The sequence below is a fragment of the Homo sapiens genome, chromosome 6 (genome assembly GCF_000001405.40).
Source record: "Homo sapiens chromosome 6, GRCh38.p14 Primary Assembly".
Lineage (NCBI taxonomy): Eukaryota > Metazoa > Chordata > Mammalia > Primates > Hominidae > Homo > Homo sapiens.
The window spans coordinates 142,358,870-142,382,892 of record NC_000006.12 but is presented as its reverse complement, the minus strand read 5'-3'; the positions used below and the strand labels follow the sequence as shown (position 1 = coordinate 142,382,892).

The 24,023-nt window shown below is 37.0% G+C and overlaps 1 protein-coding gene across 16 annotated transcripts in view, besides 2 other annotated features; it reads right to left on the bottom strand.

Annotated features, from left to right (window-relative positions):
* The window catches only part of ADGRG6 (adhesion G protein-coupled receptor G6), a 144,255-nt gene that overhangs the window by 63,369 nt on the left and 56,863 nt on the right, over positions 1–24,023 (bottom strand). For 9 of the 16 annotated variants that reach the window (XM_005267061.4, XM_006715516.3, XM_047419106.1 and 6 more), the window contains exons 3-5: positions 14,983–15,327; positions 12,100–12,723; positions 874–942 (exon numbers count right to left, since the gene is read on the bottom strand). In XM_005267061.4, coding sequence (XP_005267118.1) covers positions 874–942; positions 12,100–12,723; positions 14,983–15,327 — 1,038 coding nt within the window. The remainder of the gene's footprint in view (positions 1–873; positions 943–12,099; positions 12,724–14,982; positions 15,328–24,023) is intronic. The other 7 variants (NM_020455.6, NM_198569.3, NM_001032394.3 and 4 more) reach the window with 1 other exon arrangement.
* Positions 6,884–8,083: an enhancer, noted in NCBI's record as "MED14-independent group 3 enhancer chr6:142695947-142697146 (GRCh37/hg19 assembly coordinates)". NCBI's record gives its function as "activates an origin of replication core promoter dependent on BRD2, BRD4, P300/CBP and CDK7 cofactors, and independent of MED14, by STARR-seq in HCT116 cells {active_cell/tissue: HCT116}" and the evidence as "EXISTENCE:reporter gene assay evidence [ECO:0000049][PMID:35650434]".
* Positions 8,041–8,642: an enhancer, noted in NCBI's record as "OCT4-NANOG hESC enhancer chr6:142695388-142695989 (GRCh37/hg19 assembly coordinates)". NCBI's record gives its function as "activates a minimal SCP1, AML or CMV promoter by ChIP-STARR-seq in primed H9 embryonic stem cells {active_cell/tissue: H9 hESC(primed)}" and the evidence as "EXISTENCE:reporter gene assay evidence [ECO:0000049][PMID:30033119]".

Below are 24,023 nucleotides of genomic sequence, written 5' to 3'. Positions count from 1 at the left end.
CTGCCCTACTCTCACACTGGAACCACAGAAGAGAGCTTAGGTTTTTATTTCTTCAATCTCACTTCTAAGCCCTGTCACTTTTGTGCTATGATCTTCTTAATAAGAGATCCAGCTTTTACAAAAGGCATGGCTGTGATTCTTAATGTGGTACACAGAACATGCTACTTCACTATAGAAGTATTTAATAGAATAAATAGATGAAAAGGGTCATGGATAATTAGGAAGAGCAATGATAAAATAAAGCAAAATATTTATATTATTATTTTAAAACTTGTATAACTTTAATTATGTATTATTTAGCATGCAGCTATTTAGTACATAACATGTAACTGAAATACTGACCACGATATAGTAAGCATCGTAATAATTAACACAGTTACATTAACATTAGTTCACTATAACCATTTTAATCTTAAAATTTAAGTTATCTTGTCATCATAAATTGCCTCATGGCCTTATCTTAAAGTTAACTGAATAGTCAAATTAATTTCCCTCTTTATTTTATAGACATGAATACTTCTTCAAAGTATTGTACCACTGTATTTATACTGGACTTTTTGCAAGTCCAATATATTCTTGAGAAGACATGGGGGAAAAATGAAACCAATCCATATTTAATAGGATATAAATTCACATTTTTAAAACTCAGAGCTTTGTGGAATTGTGGTTACCCATGGTGTGAATGCATTCTTTCTCCATGCCGTACGTACTGTGCACCCACACAACTAAAACACATGCAGAAATTCTTCTGTTTTGCTGTTTTCTGGCTTTCCAAGTGAAAATTCAGATACAAATCAAAACAATGACAACCACATTACCCAAAATTGCAAGTAGAAAGCAAAGAGATTCCAGAGCACGGTGTGGGCTCCCTACCTTGACAGAGGGTCCCCAGGTCTGCACAGCTGGCCAGTTCTGCTGCTGGGAGCGGGATCAGGTAGGAACCTTGATCAACACAAAAAGAATATGTAAGTTTGATTTATGATTTAGTGATATTATCCAGAAAAATCATACGGTTGATGTAATAGAAGCAGCCCTAGAAGAGTCCACCAGTAATTCTTTGATATCAAGAAAGTCTCTTAAGGCCACTGTGCCTTAATTTTCTCAAATGTAAAACCAAAGTATTGATATTGTCCTCAAAATCTTTAACTCAACTTGTGAGTCATCACACATGAAAAGAAAAGCAGTGCCACTGCCCCTTAAAGTTTGTGCAAAAAGTTCAGGGCTTTTTGTATAATAAATTTTAAGAGTTTGGGTGGGAATTCATACAAATAAAATAATACAAACATCAAGAATAAGTTTCAAAAGTGAAGTTAATATGAATTACCCATAAAACGCAGTTTTGGTTCATACATCCTAGCATATGCTATTTGTAATTCCAGAAATATGTTTCTGTGACTTCAATTCAGTCTCTGTGTCTTTTTATTTCAAGCTTTTACTAACTCATCCTCAGCAGGAAACAAGTTTTGAGCTAATTTTTTAGTAGAAGTAGATTTTCATTGTTGCACTAAATCTCCCTCTGACAATTAACAGACTTTTTCCAACAGCTTGAGTCTGAGAAAAATTGGCTAAGCTTATAACAAAGCATATTGTATCATAAACACACACAAATACAAATATATATGTATATGTGTGTATACACATATATATACACACATATATAATATGCACGATATTTTAAGGGACATTTATATAATAGTGGTTTTATTCTAATAAATATTTCAAAACTTTCCTGTGGGAATGTGTAGGCACAGCTCGCACATGAGCTAACAAAAGATACATAACTAGGTAAACGGTATGCATAAGCAGAAAATAACCTAACAGTTTAACAGTATCTCCAGAGGCATGGTTTCTTCATCCTTGATACCTCAGGGCACTTGACCCAAGGAAAGAATCATGATACTTCAGAAAGGCCTGATATTACAGGCAGGCTATGACATGACACTGACTGGCAAGAAGCTCTTGTCACAGACCTTTACACATTCACTCAACAAACATTTACCTATTGCCTACATTATGTGAGGTACAGAGGCCAGAATGATGCTTTAAGCTAAGTCGCTGCTCTCAGGGAGGCATGAAAGGGAGATGGCGTCACAGTTCTAAGTGCTATTAGGGAAGTGCTCCGAAGGTGGCAGTGGCCCAAAGGAGGATGTGACAGCAGCTTGGTAAGAAAAGCGAACAGAAAATCCATTTCAAAGAAGAAGGCCCATGAGGCACAGGAGGCTGTGAGAGAGCCAGGGGTAAGAAAGTAGAGATGGGTATTTTACTGGCAGACAGAATTTCTAAAACAAGTACCAAGGAGGCACTGAGACGGTCTGTGCACTCAAGTCACTGGGCTTTGCTAAAGTAAAGTAAAAACTGATAAGGATGATCAGATACACAAACAATGGATAGCTGCTGTAAGGCTTTGGAAAATAGCAACACCATGAGCACTAGAACCCTCTGTCTTTCTTCCAGTGGTTAATCCCACACACTAGAACCTTGAGTGGTGGGCACTCAAGATTGTAAACCAAAAATGAACTTCTAGGGCCCCCCACAACCATCTGAATGGACTCCTCCTCTTGGCCGAGGTCCCTCCAGAGTTAACCTGAAAATCGAGTTGAGGCCATGATGGAAGAGAGGGTTGGACATGCCTCATTACACCCCTCCAGCATTAACATCAACATAGACCCTAAGTCTGATAAGAAACATTTACAATCTATCCTCTGTGAAGCCTGTTACCTGGAGGCTTCATCTGCATGAAAAAATCTTGGTATCCACAACCCTTTATTTAACCCAGACATTCCTTTCTACTGATAATAACTCTTTCAATCAATTGTCAATCAGAAAAATTTTAAATCTACCTATGACCTGGAAGCCCTCTCCCCACTACTTTGAGTTGTCCCACCCTTCTCCAGATTGAACCAATGTAAATCTTACATGTATTGGTTGATGTATTGTGTCCCTAAAACATATAAAAGCAAGCTGTACCCTGACCATCTTGGGCACATGTCATCAGGACCCCCTGAGGCTGTGTCACGGGTGTGTCCTTAACTTCGGAAAAATAAACTTTCTAAACTAATTGAAACCTGTCTCAGATATTTTGGGTTCACCAGGTGAACTAACATTGTGAACTCTTTTTCTTTTTTTGAGATGGAGTCTCGCTCTGTTGCCCAGGCTGGGGTGCAGTGGCATGATCTTGGCTCACTGCAAACTCTGCCTCCCGGGTTCCCGCCATTCTCCTGCCTCAGCCTCCCGAGTAGCTGGGACTACAGGCGCCCGTCACCACGCCAGGCTAATTTTTTGTATTTTTAGTAGAGACAGGGTTTCACCATGTTAGCCAGGATGGTCTCAATCTCCTGACCTCGTGATCCGCCCGCCTCGGCCTCCCAAAGCGCTGGGATTACAGGCGTGAGCCACCGTGCCCGGCCTGTGAACTCTTTCTTAAAGGCAGTGAGGGAAAATGAGGAGGTAGGCAAGTAAACTATATTTCATTTGAAAACAATCATTTAGGTTCTACAACCAAAAGAAGGGAAACAGAAGCAGGACTACTACTAATAATTCAGCCTTGATATCATAAGTAATAAGGATTGACAGAAAGAGATAGATACAGATACAAGAAATTTAAAGATAGAATGCATAACATTTAGCAACTAATTAAAGACAGAGGAAAAAAGGAAGAATAGAGGACGTTTTGCTAATTTCCAACTTCAAAAACTGGTACATATCGATCTAATAAAAGGAGATAGGAAATAACAGAAGAAGAGCAGACTTAGGTGGGGTAGGGTAAACACTAAGTCCAGTAACGGAAACTGAGGTGCCTGTGTGACACCTAGACGCAAAAGTGTTTTTGTAAGAGGTGTAGCCAGGAAATACTCATCAGAAGCTATAGAGTGTTTGGGATCACTGGAGATAGATTGTAGATTTGAGAAGGAAACAGGATGGAACCACAGATATTTCTATATTTAAGCATCAGATATAAGAAAAAGAGCTATAGACTTAAAAAGGTAAAAACAGCTTTTACAGAGGTGGTTTTACATAATTTAAGAGAAGAAAGTTTAATGCAGGGTGTGACAATATCAAGAATACCAGAAAGGCCAAGAATTATAAAGAATGAGAAGACCTTTAACTTTGCATTGGGATTTTGGTAGTAACTCTATAGAAAATAGTTTGAGTTGTGTGGGAATGATGAAATCTAGACTGCCAAGGTCTGACGAGTGAATGCAAGAAGAGGAAGCTTGGCTGTGAAAGGAAGCAGAGAGAGGAAGGGGGAGTTTTAAAGATTGAAAACTTAAGCAAATGCACAATGAAAAAAGAACATTTGAAGAGGCAGAAGTTAAGGCAGGACTGAGGTGGAATTTTGTCTTGAATGCTTTTTGCCCATTATTCCCTTGCATCACATTTACTGTATGCCCATTTTTTGTAGGACCTCCCTTTTGTAGGTACTTATATTTTGTAAGGGACTTCCGCAAACTAAAAAGCCTTTAAAGTTCAGAGACTAATGAAATCTCAGCCTCTGTAGCATGCAATAGAGGAGACCCTGGAGGGAGTTCCTGTGGTTCTCATATTACACACAATGTTGGCAGTCAAGGGCTTCTTAGGCCACTTCTGGCACTGATACAATATCTCTGGAAGACAAAGGGAGATAAGGGCTCAGTGTTGTGGGAAAGCAGTTTTTAGGCAAACTACATTCCCAGTATGTTAAAGAGCTTAGAGGTAAAAATAAGAAAAGAAAATCAGAAGAGCTATGATTTAGAGCAAGATATTTAACAATTTTCTTGAACATTTCATCAGTTTCATTGCACAGTAACAAGTATAAATTTCAATATGTAGCATTCTTTTATGGGAAACTGCAACAATTACTTCTCAGTATTTTAGTTAGCTGTTCCTTCTGGGGAACTTCTAGTTTAGCAAATTGACATTGCTTTAAACACTCAATAAACACTATTTTAATATGATCCAATATAACAATAAAAATCACACTGGAATATTTTTAAGTAAAAATGGTATAAATACAAGTGACTAATTTAATTAAAAGGAAATTTAATTGATAAATGAAAACTTGCATTACAAACACACCAAAATAAACAAATACATGAACTATCAAAAGTATATACAAACTTTATTTCTACCCAGTTCCATTTTCAGCATATCTGCATAAAAAGTCAATATCACAATCAGTTTTCTTTGGCTGATGGATTTACACATCAGGAGGTTGTTAAGAAAGAACAAACAATCCACTCTCCTGGATAATGATATGTTTTATCATCAACAAATTGGTTTTAGAATATGATGTGTATGTGTTCACTGATTTTCGAGGCTACCAGAAAGGTGTTTTCAGGTGTTTACTTAATATTAATGAGACAGCCAAATGTCTAGGCAGATAAAAAGGGGCGCCCGGAGAATCTCCCACCCGCCCCACAAGTGTTTACATCAGATGCTTTCGTGCAGATGAGGAAACCTGCCCAGGCCTTGCCTGAGCCTGCCCATAGAGGACTGGAGCCCGACTTGTGGGAGGTGGGTGGAGCCACGGGGAATTCATGCCTTATGCAGGGGAGGAGGCTGCTCTCTCCAGCTCCTGTGGGGACCTGGGAATCAATCAGTGAGGTGGAGGGCCTGTTGGCAGGCCTCCGTCTCACTTTGCTGAGCTTTTTGTTGTTGTTTTTTGTTTTGTTTTTCCTTTTTGCCCAATAAAGTCCTGCTCTACTGACCACTCGATGTGTCCGTGTGCCTAAATTTTCCTAGTTGTGTGACAAGAACCCGGGTTCTAGCTGAACTAAGAAGCAAAGTTCTACAACATTAACAGCAACATTTAGAGCCAAGTTTTCTTGAAAAAAATGTAATCACTGGAAACAGGCAGTTGAGGAAAAGCTCTAAAGCTGTTAATCCTTCTCTATCTGTTGTACTTTCCAAATTATGCTACTGAAAGGAGTCACTATATGTTAATATTTACACAAGTTGTGGTAAAAAAGACTGATGTGTAGCCCACTGCTCCTCTCATACCTACTTAATGATACTCCAAATAACTGAAGAGCAAATCCTCACAATAAGTTGCAATAACAGAAAAATAAAAACAGTAATTCCTTTCATTTTTTTCTTTGCAGTTGCTACTAAGATGAATTTTTCAACTTTTCATAAATAAATATATTTAAAGTGAAATTTAGTCATCTATGTTCATAAAGAGTTTGGGCATCCTCAGAGTATAAAGTCCTTTGCAAAGATAAAATGATTTATCTTAATTTTATTATTTAAAAATGATTTAGTAATCTAAAAATATTACATTCAATCATTTGTTAGAAGTGCAAGGGAGGAGCCAATAATGAATTGAAGTTTTATAGCTATGAAGAACAGAACTGTAATGATTATGAAACGGTAAAAATCCAAGAGTTGATGAAACCTTAGCAAACTCTGTAAAAAATCCTAGAGAGGGAAACAAAAATACAAATCCAGAAATTTCAGAAAAGAATAACAATAAAGTATTTATGAAGTGTGTCTTATCTCTACAACCACAGTAGCTAACCAATGGAAGTGCCTAATAAATGCTTGTTAAAATAAATGTAATTTGTTTGAACTTAGACTATTCATTGCGTTATACTGTACCACTCCCTCAGGAAAGAGTAGTAATCAGTAAAATAAATAAAACTAGTAGAGAAGGCACTGTCTGTTCTTTGTGAAAATTGACGGACATCAGCCAGTATCTAAACTTGAATCATTACACAGGCAAATAAATACTTGCACCTATAATTAAAGAGTCCACTAAAAATTTATCTATCCATGAGGGTCATAAAACTGAATGTATTTAATAAAATTGTTATGAGAAAAATGAAGATGCTATAAAATGAAGCAGATTTACTGCTAAATAAACATTTCGTTTTTAAAAGTATTGACAGGTTTAACCATGTTTTTAAAAATCTGCTGAAAATTTCCTAATTAAGGTAAAATTCCCAAATATTTTTTAGAAAAGTATAGGAAAACAAAGTCATATACTAAAATCGTTAGAGTATTTATTAATAATATATCAATTTTATTAAGGCTAGGATGTTTAATATGTGAAAAAAATGACAGGATATTTTAATGTTGAATTGAGTCAGTTCAATTCTACTATGTTACTTTCGTACTAAAATTTATTTAGCAATATACCTTTGCAAAATCTATTTATTTTTCCATCACAAATTAATCCTGAAATAAAAGCTCATATTTAGCAGACATTGTCCATTCAGTGGAATGCTAGAAATAAATTTCTATTCTCCCATTGGTTACTGTACTGATTAGTTTGTTGGAAATTATAACCATAAACAGCAAGATGCTTTCATTTCCTGGAAAAAAAATGAAAGGTTAAAATGTTAACAGGGTACACTTATCAAAGATTTGCTTAGCTAACAAGCCTTGATATAATCTCTGTTTACAGGTATTTCCTGTCAGTTAATGAGTGACTTGGACTCTTCAACTCCCAAAGCTGATGATTAAGCAGCAGGAAATTCCCTCTCCCATCATTTCTCCTGAAACACAGTCCAGGACATCTGAATGTCTGGAATGTGAGTGTTTAACGTCAACTTGGAATGGCAAGAAGATCACTATAAAAGTTAGAAAGACTCAAATATATTGACTCCGTTAAGTTCACGGTACCCTTTTGACAAAATTACTTTGAAAACTTATAGATGACTAAGATACATGAGTATGTATTTGATGCACTCCGATAATCTTAAGGCTTGGGAAAGGAGTCTCAGGGACAGAGTTTAAGAAATTATGAGAACTGCATGATCTTACTTAAATGTGGAACCTAAAAAGGTTGAACTCATAAAAGCAAAGAATAGAAGAGTGGTTTCCAGGGGCACAGGGGTGGATGGGGCACAGGAGTTGAGAATGTATGGGTCAAAGGATGGAAAATTTCAGTTAGACTGGAGAAATACATTCAAGAAATCTATTGTACAACATGATGATTATTGTTAATAACAATGATTGTATACTTGAAAATTGCTGAGAGATTTTAAATGTTCTGTCTACAAATAAAATGATAAGTATATGAGATAACAATGAAAGTTAATTAGCTCATATTAGCCATTCCACAATGTATACCTATATTAAAACATGTTGTATACCATAAACACATATAGTTCTTATCAATCAATTAAAATAATTTAAAATAATTTTTTAAATGAGTATTCCCAGACATAAATACTAGACAAGGAGACAGGAGACACGTGTTGGAGCCCACCAACTGCCTCTGCCACTTTTTTTTGTCTAAGCTTCAGTTTCCTGGCCCGTATAAAGGGAGTGGCATAAATCAGCATTCCCATTTAAAAGCCCATCAGGGCCAGATGGCCATCTAAAGACAAAAAGGGGGCTGGAGTGGGAAGAATAAGGGGTTGCTAAGGGCTAAAGTAAACTGGGAAGCTCCTTTGAAAGCAGCAGCCACCATTTAGCTCCAGCTGTGTTGGCCATGCAGATATAGTAGCCTAGTGTATTCTGTTTACCAGAAAAATCCAAAACTTCATTTTTATGTGAAATCTAATTGTTTAATATTGGAAATAATTCATCAATTAAAAGCACTGTGTGAAACAAATGTAAATGAACAGGAACAAATAAATGCTACTACCACCACCCATGTCGTAGGGCTAAACTAGCCTGTGGGTGATTGGTTTGTTTTCCCTGGCTGAGGAGATCTAGCAGGTCTTTTCTAGTGCTGTCCAAAGTATGTGGTTCAGCAAAGCGGACTCTCAGTTCTTTAGACTAGTTTCAGGGGGTGGCAAATGTTCTCCTAAAGGGCTAGACTGTAAACATTTTAGGATGGCAGGCTATACTGTATTGATCACAATCAATTAACACAGCCATTGTAGCACAGAGGCAGACAAAGACAATATATAAACTAATGGGCATGGCTGTGTTCCAATTAAACTTTATTTATAAGAACAAGGGAGCTTAGTCCCAGCTACTCAGAAGGCTGAGATTAGAAGATTGCTTTAGCCCAGGAGTTTGAGGCCAGTCTGGGCAACACAGTAAGACCCCAACTTAAAAAAAAAAAAAAAAAAAAAAAAGAAAAGAAAAAGAAAAACAAGTATTAAAAAAACATGTGTGCTGGGCACAATCCCTCATGCCTGTAATCCCACCACTTTGGGAGGCTGAGGAGGGAGGATCACATGGGGCCAGGAGTTCAAGACCAGCCTTGACAACACAGTGAGACCTCATCTCTACAATAAATGTTTTAAAAAATTAGCTGGGCATGGTGGTGCACACCTGATGTCCTACCTACTCAGGAGAGCTGAAGTAGGAGGATCACTTGAGCCCAGAAGTTCAAGGTTATAGCGATCTCTGATGGCACCACTACAGTCCACCCTGGGGGACAGAGTGAAACCCCGTCTCTAAACAAACAAGTAAACAAAAATGCATGGCCTGTTACAGGCCCTCCTAATTTGCCAACCTCTGGTCTAGAGAAATTCTTAGAGAAGCTTAGGAATCCCTGTAAAACTGAATCATACTTTTTCATAGTTAGGTATCCAGGAAGTATTGTGGGAAACAAATATTATTTGTTTGAAACAAATATGTTAACACACTGCAAACCTAGTGTTTTCTCACAGAATGCACTGCTGGCCAGAGAGATGGCTCTTGGACCTTCATACTTCTCCCCTGAGCAAGAATGAGCTTTAGCCTATCCTGGTACTAAATCTAATATCTAATCCTGTTTATGATGAATGACAGTCTAATTTATACTGGTTAGAAGAGCACAGCTCTAATACCAAACTTTCCAAGCTCCAATCCTGGCTTGGCTACTTACTAATTAAGAGACACTGGATAAGTTAGTTAATCTCCACGTGCCTCAGGTTCCTTATTTGCAAAATAGGATCAATTATAGAACCCGTAACATGGGATCTATGGTGTAGGTAATCAACCAATATGTGTTAAGTGCTTAAAATGACATTTAGTACAAAATGTGTGTTCAATTTAAATATAAGTATTAGCAATTATTAACATAGCCATATTTGTTTTGGTTGCTGACATCTTCAAAACATTGTCCCATAAAAAGGCAAATATTAGAATGGTCTATACTATGACTTCTTAATAATGTCCCAGTCTATGGTGAAAAGAGACCCCTGAATTAAAGACAGTCACCCAGAATGCAGGAAGTGCACCATTCCCTCTCCTTATTCTTCACTGTCCCACACCAAACATACACACCTGACTTTCTCAATTTCTTCTCTGATAAAAGACTTCTCAAGGAGTCCCTGAAGGTCCTTTCTAGCTATCCTAACACTGAGAGAAGATCTTAGGGAACATCACCAGCTCTTATAAAGCTCTGCAGTTCCCTTGTGGAACAGGGTTGTGGTTTATCTACTTTCCAACATCCTGCAAGGAAATATCTTTCAAATGACATCACTTCACAGCCTTTCCACCACCTGTAGGAGTGCCATGGACCACACGAACAGGTGGGTAACAGGAGTTCTCAGGCCAGAAGGGCAGGCATGGGTCTGAGAAATTGGGAGGTGGCCTTGAGTCATCATAAGGGTGCTACTTTGCTCAAAGCGTGGGAATAAATTCCCAGTAAACTTCCCTCCAATATCATATACAAATTACTTTTGAATACTAGGCTCCTTCTTCTCCTTTTTAATTGAGAGTTATGTCTGTGACTAAAATGTATATATTATCACTGCCTTAGATTTAGTCATATGACATTTAAAGTTGATAATGAAACTTCTACTTTTTGTGTTTGAATCAGTCCTATAATAAAATAAAGGCTTCCAGAATTAACTTGTGTAAATGGAGAATATTAGGTGGAGATCTATTTTAATACAATTTTTATCACACAGAATTATTTCTCAAAATATTCTGCATTTAGCTACTTCCAATAATAGCACATTTACAGTCTCACAAAGAAGAACCAGAGACAGCACAGTATTTGAAACAAACTATAAATCCTCATTTTAAAAAAAATGGAGAAAAATGTTCAAAGAAAAAAATGGATAATTCCTGATTAAGATTTTCTATAAAATGGACAGTTTTGATATTTAAACTGGCTGAGTAAATACTATTCTCTTAGGTGCTGGTTGTTTATTTAAGTCATCCAATTGAAATTTAATTCCAGGATGATATAGATCAGTTTATTACTGTATCACCTTTGTGATTAAAAACAGTAACTGGGCCGGGCACGGTGGCTCATGCCTGTAATCCTAACATTTTGGGAGGCCAAGGTGGGCCGATCACGAGGTCAGGAGATTGAGACCATCCTGGCTAACACAGTGAAACCCCATCTCTACTAAAAACACAAAAAATTAGCCGGGCATGGTGGTGGGCACCTGTAGTCCCAGCTACTCGATAGGCTGAGGCAGGAGAATGGCGTGAATCTGGGAGGCAGAGCTTGCAGTGAGCTGAGATCTCATGACACTGCACTCCAGCCTGGGCAGCATAGCGAGACTCTGTCTCAAAAAAAAAAAAAAAAACAAAAAAAAACAGTAACTGGCCAGGCAGGGTGGCTCACACCTGTAATCCCAGCACTTTGGGAGGCTGAGATAGGTGGACCACTTGAGGTCAGGAGTTTGAGACCAGCCTAGCCAACATGATGAAACCCCATCTCTATTTTAAAAAAATACAAAAATTAGCTGGGTGTGGTGGTGCACGCCTGTGGTCCCAGATACTTGGGAGGCTGAGGCATGAGAATTTCTTAAACCCAGGAGGTAGAGTTTGCAGTGAGCCAAGATCACCCCACTGCACTCCAGCCTGGGCAACACAGTGAGACTCTGTCTCAAAAAAAAAATACCAATAACTTACTTATTAATTTCTTTTGTTTCAAGCCTAGTGTTAACATTTGTATTTGAGATTCCACAATTATAACTATTGTTATATTCGTGATAAACTCTGTGATATTTTATGACATAGGGAAAACTTAAGAATGGTAAAACCAAATGTCTTGATGGAGCATGCATGGCTTATAATCAAATGTGTGCTATAAGAGCTGAGCAGACGACATTTTAAAAATTAAAAGAGCTTTTTAATGACAACATATATATATATGTCTATATGTGTGAATATACATACAGGTACATTTGTGTGTATGTATAATTCTTTGTTGACAATCATATTCATAGAATAATGCTAAAAAAAAAAAAAAAAAGGAATACGCTACAAACTCACCACAGCTTAGGTTGCTTTCAGCTTTCAGAGCTAGGTTTGGGATATTCCAGAAGTCATTTTGCCAGTCGACTACATTCCCTTTCACATTACAGCTGAGGTTGGAGAGGATTTTGGCATTCATGGTAAAATTCCAAAGTCGAAAGTTATAAATGTCCCCTTTTAGAGAGACAATTTCATTTTGATTGGAGCCCAACAACAATTTCCCATTCCCAGGAATAACTTTACTAATGGTAGAATCACATGGAACTGTTTCATAGTTTCTTTTGAAATTTACACCAATAGAGCCCAAAGAATTATTCCAAACAAGGCAGAGCTGTTCAAAGCTTTCTGCAAAAATGTCTTCTTTTTCTTTGACAGGTAATGCATTATTCAACAAACATTTTGAATCAGAAATGGATAGAAAGTAGCCACTCTTGGCCTTTCCAAAACTGAGCAATTGTGTGAAGGATGCATTTGAGTAGGAGAAAGCTGTCCAATCACTGTCTTCATGGCCAACTTTGGTTGCTTCAAAGCAGAGTGTGAAAGCACTGAGCTCTGGAATAGAGATGCTTTTTGCAACAGATACCTGGTAAGCATCTGATGTCTGGGGTAAAATGACCTTTTGATTCCTTAAGGACACGGCAACTAGGACAAAACATAACAAGAAAGATAAACCTGTTAACTTCAGAACACAGACTAATGTGATGCAAAACATCAAGCCCTCCATCGCTTTCTACTAGTTAACTTTTTACCTACCATTTGCCCCATCCCTCCCCTCTTACTCATCTATCCTCTGTCACCAGCCCATTACCAATCGTCTGATATCAGTAATAATAAGAAATTCTACTCATTTCATCTCTAGTCATGATTGGATCTCACACCTAAACTTTTGAGTTACAGCCAGCAAAGTTGATAAGTATTTTTTAATCCTGAAACTAAGAAATTAACAATTTAAAAACCCCAACTACCTAATTAAGGAAATAACTGGTTTCAGGAAGGCTTTGTTTATACATTAAGATTTTCAAAAATACTACTTTTCAAATGATTTCTAAACATAAATAATAGTTCTTATTTTCATTAATGATTACTTTTCACTCTTTCCAAACATTCCTGTACTGCCATCTCCCTTTCAGTTACTCTATATCCTCCTATTTTTTCCACCATCATCAGGCTGTTTTAGGAACAAATGCAAAAATAATTCTATTAAGGAGAGGGAGTCTAGTGAAAAGTCAAACAAAGTGGAGATTTAAGGTATCCAGGCATATAAGCCAGTTTTTGAGTAGTAAAGGGCAGACCATGGAGTTTCCTACTCCAGCTCTTCTGGGTAGTGGCCATGTGACCCTGGGTATGTTACTTCATCTCTCTCTACCTTTGTCTTATCTGTAAAATGGGCAACAATGGCACCTATTGTATATATGGTCAATAAGAATTAAATAAGTTAATATGTCCAAGGCACAGAGCAGTGCCAGTACCACAGCAATAAATAGCAAGTACTATTATTGTAATAGACGTGCAATAAATTCAAAATAAAAATGTATTCACCTAATCCATGATACATGCAAAATTATTACATAATACAACAGATTTAGCCCTATGCTAATATAATAGCCATTGTGAAACTAATTTGAGAAAGAAGTATTTCTCCTCAAAAATACTTTTTAATACTGGTTTCATATGAAAAACAGTTTGAATATATTTTAATATTCAGTACATCAAGAATAGTTCTATAATAAAACATCGTTTTAGTATAACTATTCTAGTAAAAATCTATGATAGAATTTAAAGGAATCATGGACTTTAGTTTACGTTTTAAATATAAGGCAGTTTATAGGTTCACTTATGCAAAGAGACACAATATGAACCAGTATTCTACATGCATTGTTAAAATTAAAAGCCTAGAAATAAATATCTCCATCAACATTTTATTAGTGGTTATGGCTGGGTGGCATTTGTATAGGTAATTCTAATTTGCTTTTTTTGTTTTCCAATGTCCTATATTTTATCATTTTTAAAACATTATTTTGAAAAATTTAAAATATTTTGAAAAATTTAAGCATGTGTGTTTTAACCATGGTAAACACAAATCAATAACTCCACAATCAAAAAACACAATTTATAATAGTGAGGGTCAGTCATTTTCATAGTCGTGTCTTTCTGTTTTTACTTAGAAAGTTCAGAAGAAAAAAAAGTATAACTAAATCATAATAGTCATTTTTATAGTTGTACCTTTCTGTTTGTTTTTACTTAGAAGGCACAGAAGAAAAAAAAAACAGTATAACTAAGTCTCACCATGTTGAAGCTTGAGTTTCTTTAGGGAAACACAGGTTTTAGAGAGAAAGATTATTTAAATGTTATGTTGTGCCAGAATATAGAAAACATATTTAATAAAAATATGCCTTATTTCATTCAGTTAGCCATTTTCAGAGGGCTTTCCTCAAGCTGTGTTATTTATTAGCTTAAACTGTTAATAGCTTGTTAAAAATTTACTGTTCATTTTCTGTATTTGTTCCCTACCATAGTTCCTTAAAAGGACAACATCATAAAACCCAAAATAAAATGATGTCTAAATAGGGATGTTTTAAATTTTCAGTGGAGAGATGTTAGAATTATAGATTTTAATTATTAGCCGTGGAATATCTACAGTGTCTTCCAAGCAGCCTTTAAATGTTCCACATATAAACAATATAAAAGAATTCAACTCTACTGTAACCACATTTTGGATCTGGTAATTATATTTTGCTAACAAGAATGCTCAGAGAATATTAACAGATTCTTGCCCTTATATCCCAATCCTAATCATTCACATTCACATAAAAGAGCATAACTCTGTCTTCTGGTCCTTGTGTTTACTGCAGAACATGTTAAATAAAAGCAGAAGGTTGGCGTTGCCTTTGGTTTACATACCTCTGATGTAGCTGGCATTGAAACCTTTCTTCTGGATGCTAAAGTCACTTGAAAAGGACACATGCATCTCATTCGCACTTGAGTTAAATGATAGGCCTTTGGCAGTTGCTCCACAAAATTTAGTCTGGCTCTCTCCATTATCAAGGGATAATGAGTCATAAATGCAATTGGGAGCTTCTTCAATGTCAAAGTCGTTAAATGTTATCTGAATGATATAACCGGTGGGGGCTCGGAGCGTCCACATGCAAGCCTGGCTGTTTGGGTAGTCGTTAGGGTAGCATGGAGAAGTAAAGGTCCCAGAAGGGTTGGACAAAACCACTCGGCAGTTGGCACATCCCCACACTGCTGGCCAGACAAAAGAGAGACAGAGAGAAGGGCTGGGTTCAGATGCATGCAATAAACCGAGAATACCACACACTGGCGACAATCAAGCAGTAAATATTTAAAAATACCAACATACAATCATAAAAAATAAATGGAAAATGAAACCCTCTTGAGGAGAAAAAGAATTATCAATAGAGCAACAAAAAGTAAAAGAGAAACAAAAAATTTTAATGCAATGATTCTTAAATTTGGGAGGTTATACAGTCTGAGAATCTGTTATACAAACTCTCTCCAGTAAAATGAGCAGGGGCCACACACGTTACACACAATTTCAAGGAGTACAATGAGGCCTCAGGAGGCAACAGCGAATTTCACAAAGGTTCACTGACCCAGGTTAAGAATCTCTACTCTAGAGGGTAACTGAACTGGGGTGGCGGGGGTTATAGAACCATAAAGATAGTGCTCAATGTTACAAATCATAGATATAAAGGAAGAGAAACTCTTAGAAAATAAATAATTTAATAGAAAGCTATCAATACAAAAAAATAATGAGCTATCTTCTGGCAGACTGTATTTTTTTTCTGAAATTCAAATAAATAGCATCACCTTGCAAACATGGATTATTTATAGTTTCGAAAATACATTCACTTATCCCATTTGTTTGTCACAGTTGGTAATTATATGCTTGTGGGCTCATCTCATTTACTCATTCATTTAGTAAATATTTATTGTGAGTCTATTATGTGCCAAGCACTATTCTAAATAATATATATCAATATCAATGAGCAGCAAAGACAAAATCTCTCTATAAAGGAATCTTTTTTTTTTTTTTTTGAGACAGTCTCGCTCTGTTGCCCAGGCTGGAGGGAAGTGGCATAATTCTGGCTCACTGCAACCTCTGCCTCCCAGGTTCAAGCAATTCTAGTGCCTCAGCCTCCCGAGTAGCTAGGATTACAGGTGTGCACCACCACGCCTGGCTGGATAAAGAATTCTTATACTTCAGTGTTGGACCTAAAGGTAACCACAAGTATAATGACAGATAAAGGTGGGGAAGAAAAGTAAAGCAAAGGATAAAGAGAGACTGAAATCAATGTTAGCGATGCTGGTTCTCCAAAGAGGTGACATTTGAGGAGAGATCCAACTGAATGATGTGAAGGAGCATGCCATGAGCATGCTAGAGTATAGCACCGCAGATCACAGGAATGGAAAAATTAAGACCCATTGTAAATGAACATTGGTTTTTCCCATGGAATGTAAGTCCTATGAGATCTAAGATCATGTCTCCTTTGCTCATCACTATTTGTTCTCAGTATAAGGTTCACAATAAATGTTAATTGAATGAATTATGTAAAGAAAAACCCTTCTGAGGTAGACAGGGGAAATGCTATTATCCCATTTTCACTAATGAGAACAGTTAGGTTCTTCTCAATTATTATTTATCCACCAGTTGGAATCAGAAACCAAGGTCTACTATCTTCCTGTCCAGAGATGCTTTTGCAACTAATATTCACATTGCTTTTACATATTTATATAAATGAAGGCAGTAATCTCATTTATTCAAAATACTGGATAAATTGCCATTAAATGGACACATAAACTTTCAAACAATAAAATACTTAAAAAATATTAATGAAAATAACTAAATTTATTATATCCCTCCCTCTTTTACTGAGTTGACTAGAATGCATATACAATAACATTTCTTGAAAAATGGTAGTTACTACAAATACTACTATTCTTCTATGATATGGTGATTTATTCAAGGACTAATTCGATGTTTTATACAGCTCAAGTGAGGTTTTTCTCTTCTCTTTGGCCACCTTGTATTACTCAATGTTTCACTTTGCCAACTCTGTCTCCATCCATTCTTTTTAACTTGCCCTCCTCCTGCTCTTCCTCCCTAAGTCTCTGACATCTTGTACAAGACCGAAGACAGACAATGGAAAATAAATGATGATCATCAAGTGTCTGCCAAATGCTTTCTCTTATCCATCCCTGGAGCACCATGTTCCTCTGCTTTGTAGCACTATTCAGAGGACTTGTGTTACTTCCATTTGTGAGATGATTTTCTTATTGTAAATCTTCTTCCACTACTTTGTGAACTCAACAAGCAGAGGGTGTGTGACTGTCATATTTGCCATTCTACTCTCCAGCACTGCACAGTACCTCTGGCACATAGGAGATCTTCAATAAAATTTGCTAAATTTATGAACAAATGAGTAGCTTAAATGAAGGGAACCATGCCTAAATTAAAGAAAGACTCCATGCAGTATAACCAAGTCAAACAAATTCTAATTCTGAAAAGAAGATAGAGTACATGTGCTCTGGAACATCTCTTTGGGTGGGGTGTTGGGCTGTTTCTTCCAATTATATCACTCACAGCACAGGACTGAAATGATTAGGACTTTCTGACAAGTTCAGCTTTGTGTTACTTTGCCTTGGGCTCAGGAGACAGAAGTAATCCTAGGAAATTAACAATAATTTATCCAGTTATAGGCACTGGAGATTAAAAATAAAAATATAAAGGAAAGTAAGCAACAACCTCTGTCATCGCAACATGCAGACAGGCAGCATCATTTTTCCAAGAAGAGATGCCATCCTTTATATCCAAGACCCAAGTTATGTGCATGACTTCCTTTATCCTATATATTATCTTTGCCAAATTCTTCCCTAAGACCTGAAGAAAGGGTTTAAGAAAATTTATTATCATTATTATTTTTTAGAGACAGGGTATCTCTCTGTCACCCAGGCTGGAGTGTAGTGGCCCTCGCTGCAGCCTCAAACTACTGGGCTCAAGCAATCCTCCCACCTTGGCTCCAGAAGTACTGAAATTACTGGCCTGAGCCACCACGCCTACCCACGGGTATAAGAAAGTTAAATTTGACTGATAACACTGACTGTGTAATCTTTAACAAGTTAATTTATCTGTGCCTCAGTTTCTCCACCTTTACACTGGTGATAATAACAGCAACCACTTCCCAGAGTTATTGGGAGGATAACATGGATTAATATTGGAAAGTCCTGGAAGTTGTACCTGGGACATAGTTAGCACTAGTTAAGTGTTGGCTATTATTAATAATTACTATAACACAAAATTAGTGCCTTAAAATTTTAAGAGAGGTAAAATAGCACACCACTTTAGTAGAATTTCTTTTTTCCTTAGGCACTCAGAGGGATAGAAAAAAGATAAAGATGACACTCATAACATGAATTCAGAAGAACATTTGATACATTCTTCCATATTATTCTTACCTTCAGTGGCTAGACAGCATTTAGAGATAGTGCTACTAAATAATAATTATCTTAAATAGATGAAATGTCAGTTAAGCTAGACACAGTATCATCCTCTTCATTATACTTATAGAGCAATTCACAATAACAAGCTTTCACATATATCTCATTTAACATTATAATAACCCTGAGAATTATTACCACCTCTATCTTTAGAGGAAACAAATGAGGCTAATATAGATTGGATAACTCACACAAAGTCACACATCTAATTGATAGTAGCACCAAAATTCAAACCAGCCCTTCTGAATGTAAGCCTAGTATCCTTCTAAGGAAAAAAAAAAAAAAGTTGCCACAATTAAACAAAAAATACAGAACAAAACGGTGAGCTCAAGTGCTTCTTTAAGAGACGTTTTTTAAACGGACAATTTCTTAAAAAGAGTTTCATAGCCCTAAAATAAACCTATTTTAAGAAACTCATTTGGAAACATTTTAATAAAGAGTATTAGGAAGTATGAAATATAGTGCTTTGAATTTTCCAATTTGGAGTAGTCAAATATCACTGCTAATTGATTCCTATACTATGAGCTAGCCTAGTAAGTAATTACTTTGATCTCTCTTAAGAGTCAGGGCTACCTAATTAGATGGTTACTGAAGTAGCCACTGAATGAGGTATTGGTAAAATCAGGATTAACACATATTCTAAAAGCTACTCAACTCAAAGCATCTGGCTCAATATGTTCTCAAAGACAGATATGGTAACATATTCTTACATATAATTATAAAAGCAAGGTTTTCAAGTAATCCAAACAAACAACAAACCAAATTCCACCCTCAGTTCTTGCCTATGCTTACAAATATTTAGCAGTAATTTACTTGTGCGTATTTTTACAAGTTTATTTTTCAATGAAACTCTAATCTATAATGAAAAGTCTTCCAGTCACGCCAAAGCCTAATTCAATTGATAAATAACATTTTGATATAGATTTAATAATCATTAACTTGTGAGGTTTTTTTTTTAATCTCAGATTTGGATTCTTACTCTACCTTTGCCACAAGTACTTCTTTATAAAATCCAAATGCCTATTCTTTAAAATCTCTTTAAAACAAGAATTTTAGATCCCAAGAGATAAATCAAAATGGAGATCAATTTTAGCTTCTTTCAACACAGATTTGTGGATGATATTGAATAATTGCTTCTTCTAGACTGTGTTAAATGGTGAACAAAATGAATTCATTTAAGTAAATCTTGATCTCTATTTGAACATATATAAAATTGCAGCTAATGAGCTTGTAGAAAAACCTGGTCAGTGAAAATTATCTCCAGAAAATTTAGCTTAAGTTGCCTGCTTGGTCTGCATTTATTCAGTCATTATTTGAATTATCCATGAGGATATATTAAGTTCTAACACATGAAAAGCTCATTTGTTGCTTAAAAACATTTAAAATATTTAGTAGTCTTGGTGGCTTCTAAAAATTAAACCTAAGGGCCAGCAACTATGAATTCTAGAATCAGTTCTAATACCTAAGTCAGTAAAGAGCCAGGATAGCCACATACCATTTCTCCAGATCTAAGTAAATTGCTGTCAGATGTAACATCATTGAAATGTAAAATATCAATAACATTTTAGATGCTGGCATTTATCAAATGATTGATAATATGCAGAAATGGACGACTTCATCAAAGTAAGTTATTTTAAGTGATTTCAGACCACTATCCAGATTTTTCAAGATGGCATAGAATCCAAGGCAATCTGGCTGTGACATCTGTGATTCTGTTAATGTGACAGACTTGGCAAGCATCCCCACCACCCTCACCGCTCCTCCTCAAGCTCTGCACTCAAAAATAGCATTTCTACACTTGAGGAGGGTCTTTCTTAAAGCACGGTTACATTGGTCATTCCAATCCCCTACCAGAACTTCTGACAGACATGCCAGAATACCAGTTCATTCACACACTCCTCCTAAAACAATGGTTTCCTGAGTAAACCGGATAATTGTTTCATTTCCCTCTGTAATGGGTCAACCCCAAAACGTTCTTTGGAAACACCCTGAATAAGGAGCTACTTCAACGACTTAAGCATGAGTTCAAAAGGGTACCGCTTACTTGAATCAGTTCAATTAAGCTTGACATTGCTAGAAAATGAACAAGATGTTGAACTGAAGTTTCCTTGATGAGGCACCATTAAGACTGACAATTTTTTGAATTTCCAAAGATACCCACATGCACCACACCCTCAAACACATCTCTTTCTTCTGTAATACTGTTAATGTTTAAACTTTGAGTTCTGTCTTTCCATAATCATGTTGGCAAGAGAACATTCCATGCCTGACTGCAAAAGATAATACTTTCTGAAGATCCAAACAAATGAACTGTTGTAAATCATTCCAGAGTCAGCCTGTTATGTAGATATACATCACTTGCAAGAGGCTTAGACACACAAGCACATGGGTATGCATATGTACACACACCCACACATATTTTCGTGGGAAACTATTCTCTCTTAAGCAATGGTTGAGGCTTTTCCAGCTTTAAAAAAAAAAAAACAATCTAAAGGCAATGAATAATTTGAAACAACATAAACTGCATGGTCTATCACCAAATCTACCTCCTGGTTAACATATTCATTCAAGTTCCTTATTCTCTTCCTGCAAACCCCCAACTCTGGATTAATCCAGCTGCGGACCTTCTTGCTCATGAATCCATAGGCCTCTGAACTCAGTTGATAAGAACTTACAAAATTTCACACAGTGTTTATACTAAAGTGGCTTCCATTTTTATTTCACTCATCCTCTCCAGCACTGGATGCCTCTGAGCACACGCTGCTTCTGGACAGTCTCTTACCCACAAATTCTCCATTCTCCTCATTTCCTTCCTGCCCTCTCAGCCCTCTCCAAGCACCACCTCTGCTACCCTTGCCTTTACAATCCTTTCTGTTTGGCCGGAGGATCTCAGACAAGCAGCATGGGCATCATCCGAGAGCTTGTTGACGCACAGAATAACCCAGACCTACTAAACAAAATTTGCATTTAAACGAAATTCTTGGATGATTAATAAGCAAGTTAAACTCTGAGAAGTACTGCTTTAAATAACAGTTTACTACAAAAGCTACTCAATCTTCTTAGGTACAACTTCTCCCAAGAGGATCTGTCTCCTCTCACACCTCTTGCTGTCATCTTTATACTACTTGGTCCAAGGAGTAAACGCCTGACCTGAAGGGAACCAAACCACAGGCTTTGCCAATCAACCAAATGCTATCTTTCTCTAAGAATTTCAAGTTAGAGACACACACAACCAGAGAATGACAAAAAGAAGAATGATGACATTATAGAAATTCAAAGGCAGCAGCTGCCTTGGCCACTTGGAAATACAGGAAGCTAAGGGGCTAGAGAGCAAATGTAGAGGCTGGGCGCAGTGGCTCATGCCTGTAATCCCAACACTTTCGGAGGCTGAGGTGAATCACGAGGTCAGGAATTCAAGACCAGCCTGGCCAACATGGTGAAACCCCATCTCTACTAAAAATACAAAAATTAGCCAGGACTGGTGGCACATGCCTGTAATCCCAGCTACTCAGGAGGCTGAGGCAGGAGAATCACTTGAACCCAGGAGGTGGAGTTTCAGTAAGCTGAGATCACACCACTACACTCCAGCCTGGGTGACAGAGCGAAACTGTGTCTCAATAAAAATTAAATAAATAAATAAAAGAAAAGAAAAGAAAATGTAGAGCACAAAGATGAGAGAAAACCAGACTTTTGAGAAACAGAGGTGCTTTAATTCCAGCCATTCCACATCCAGTAATGAAGGGTAGGAGCTGTTCCTTGTGGCCTGTCCTAGAATTATATGACAATAATTCTTATTATACCTGCTGCTCTACTACTTTACTTGGTTTTAGTCGATTTCTGTTGGTTGCAACCAAGTGTGCCTCAAGCCAGTACTCTAATAGAGCTCTCCTCTATGTTCAGCTCTTCTTTATATATACTCATTCTCGCTGGCTAATCTCATCTGAACAAAAGCCTTCATTATACCTAAATGTTCATCACATACATGTGCTACTGAGCACCATATCCTAGCTTTGCAAATACCTACTCAATATCTTCACTTGGATATCCCATAGAGCCATCAGTCCAAACATCATTCCTCAAATAATTTGTTTTTATCCTCCTTATAATTGTTAGCAGCATGAACATCACCCAAATTAGGACTCTGAACATCCCTTCTCTCTTCTTTCTCCCACACCATCTCAAATAATTTGCCAAGGGCTATGACATTTGTTTTATTCATAGTTGTTAAATCTGCTCCTCATCTCATTCCCACAGTTTAAGGTCCTGTAGTTTAAGGTTCTCATCCTTTCTCTCTTGGATAAAAGTTTGGTCTCCTTGTCAATATTCTTGTCACCTGCAACTAACTCATCTTCCACATCACTACCAGAAAGATCTATCAATATCCTAGTATGAAGGTAAGTTTTCTCTACCTCCAAATCTTCTCTGGGATCCAACAAGACAAGTCCCTTGACTGACATATACAGCACTCCTTATTAGCTCTGTTCACACTTCCTGTCTCTTCTCATCTCCCCACATCCCCGCACTTAATAAATACTTACTAAACATTTATCTGCCTGACACTGTGCCAGGTTCTGGGAATACAGTCATGTACAAGATATAATCTCTGACTATGGATTATTGGAAATGCAGATAAATAAGTAGATTGTGATCATACAATGTGATAATTGCTCTGATAGAACAGTGCTATACTATAGCCTGGGTTTAGACTTCATAGAAACAGTACCATTTCTAACCAAATCAAGAAACTGAGATGTAAATATGCAGTTTGGGAGTGAGCCAAGTAAAGGAGGAAGGCAGAGACAAAACAGAAAAGAGTGTCCTGGGCAGTGAGGTCAGCAGGTACAAGACAGCATAGACTGTTCAAGTAACTTAAGATTTAGTTCAGCTGGAGCATCGTGTGTAAAGTGGGGAGAAATAAGAGATAAAGATGACAAAGTAGGCAGAGATAAGATTTTGCAGGATTTTGCAAGCCATGCTAGAGAAAATGAAAGTATACCAACAGCAGTAGGGAAACTAAAAAGGTTTTAGTTTGGGGAAGGTAAAATAACTGGATTTTTGTTTAGCACTTTTTTTTTTTTTTTTTTTTTTTATAGGGTCTTGCTCTGTCTCCCAGGCTGGAGTGCACTGGTACAATCATGGCTCACTGAAGCCTCAACCTCCTGGGCTCAAGCAGTCCTCCCACCTCAGTCTCCTGAGTAGCTGAGACCACATGTATGCACCACCATGCCCAGATATTTTTTTTTTTTTTAATTGTAGAGGGGATCTCATAATGTTGCCCAGGGTGCTCTCAAACTCCTGGACTCAAGTGATCCTCCCACCTCAGCCTCCCAAAGTGCTGGGATTACAGGCATGCAGGCATGAGCCACTGCACCAGGCCAGCACAGATACTTTTTTTGAGACAGAGTCTCACTCCGTCGCCCAGG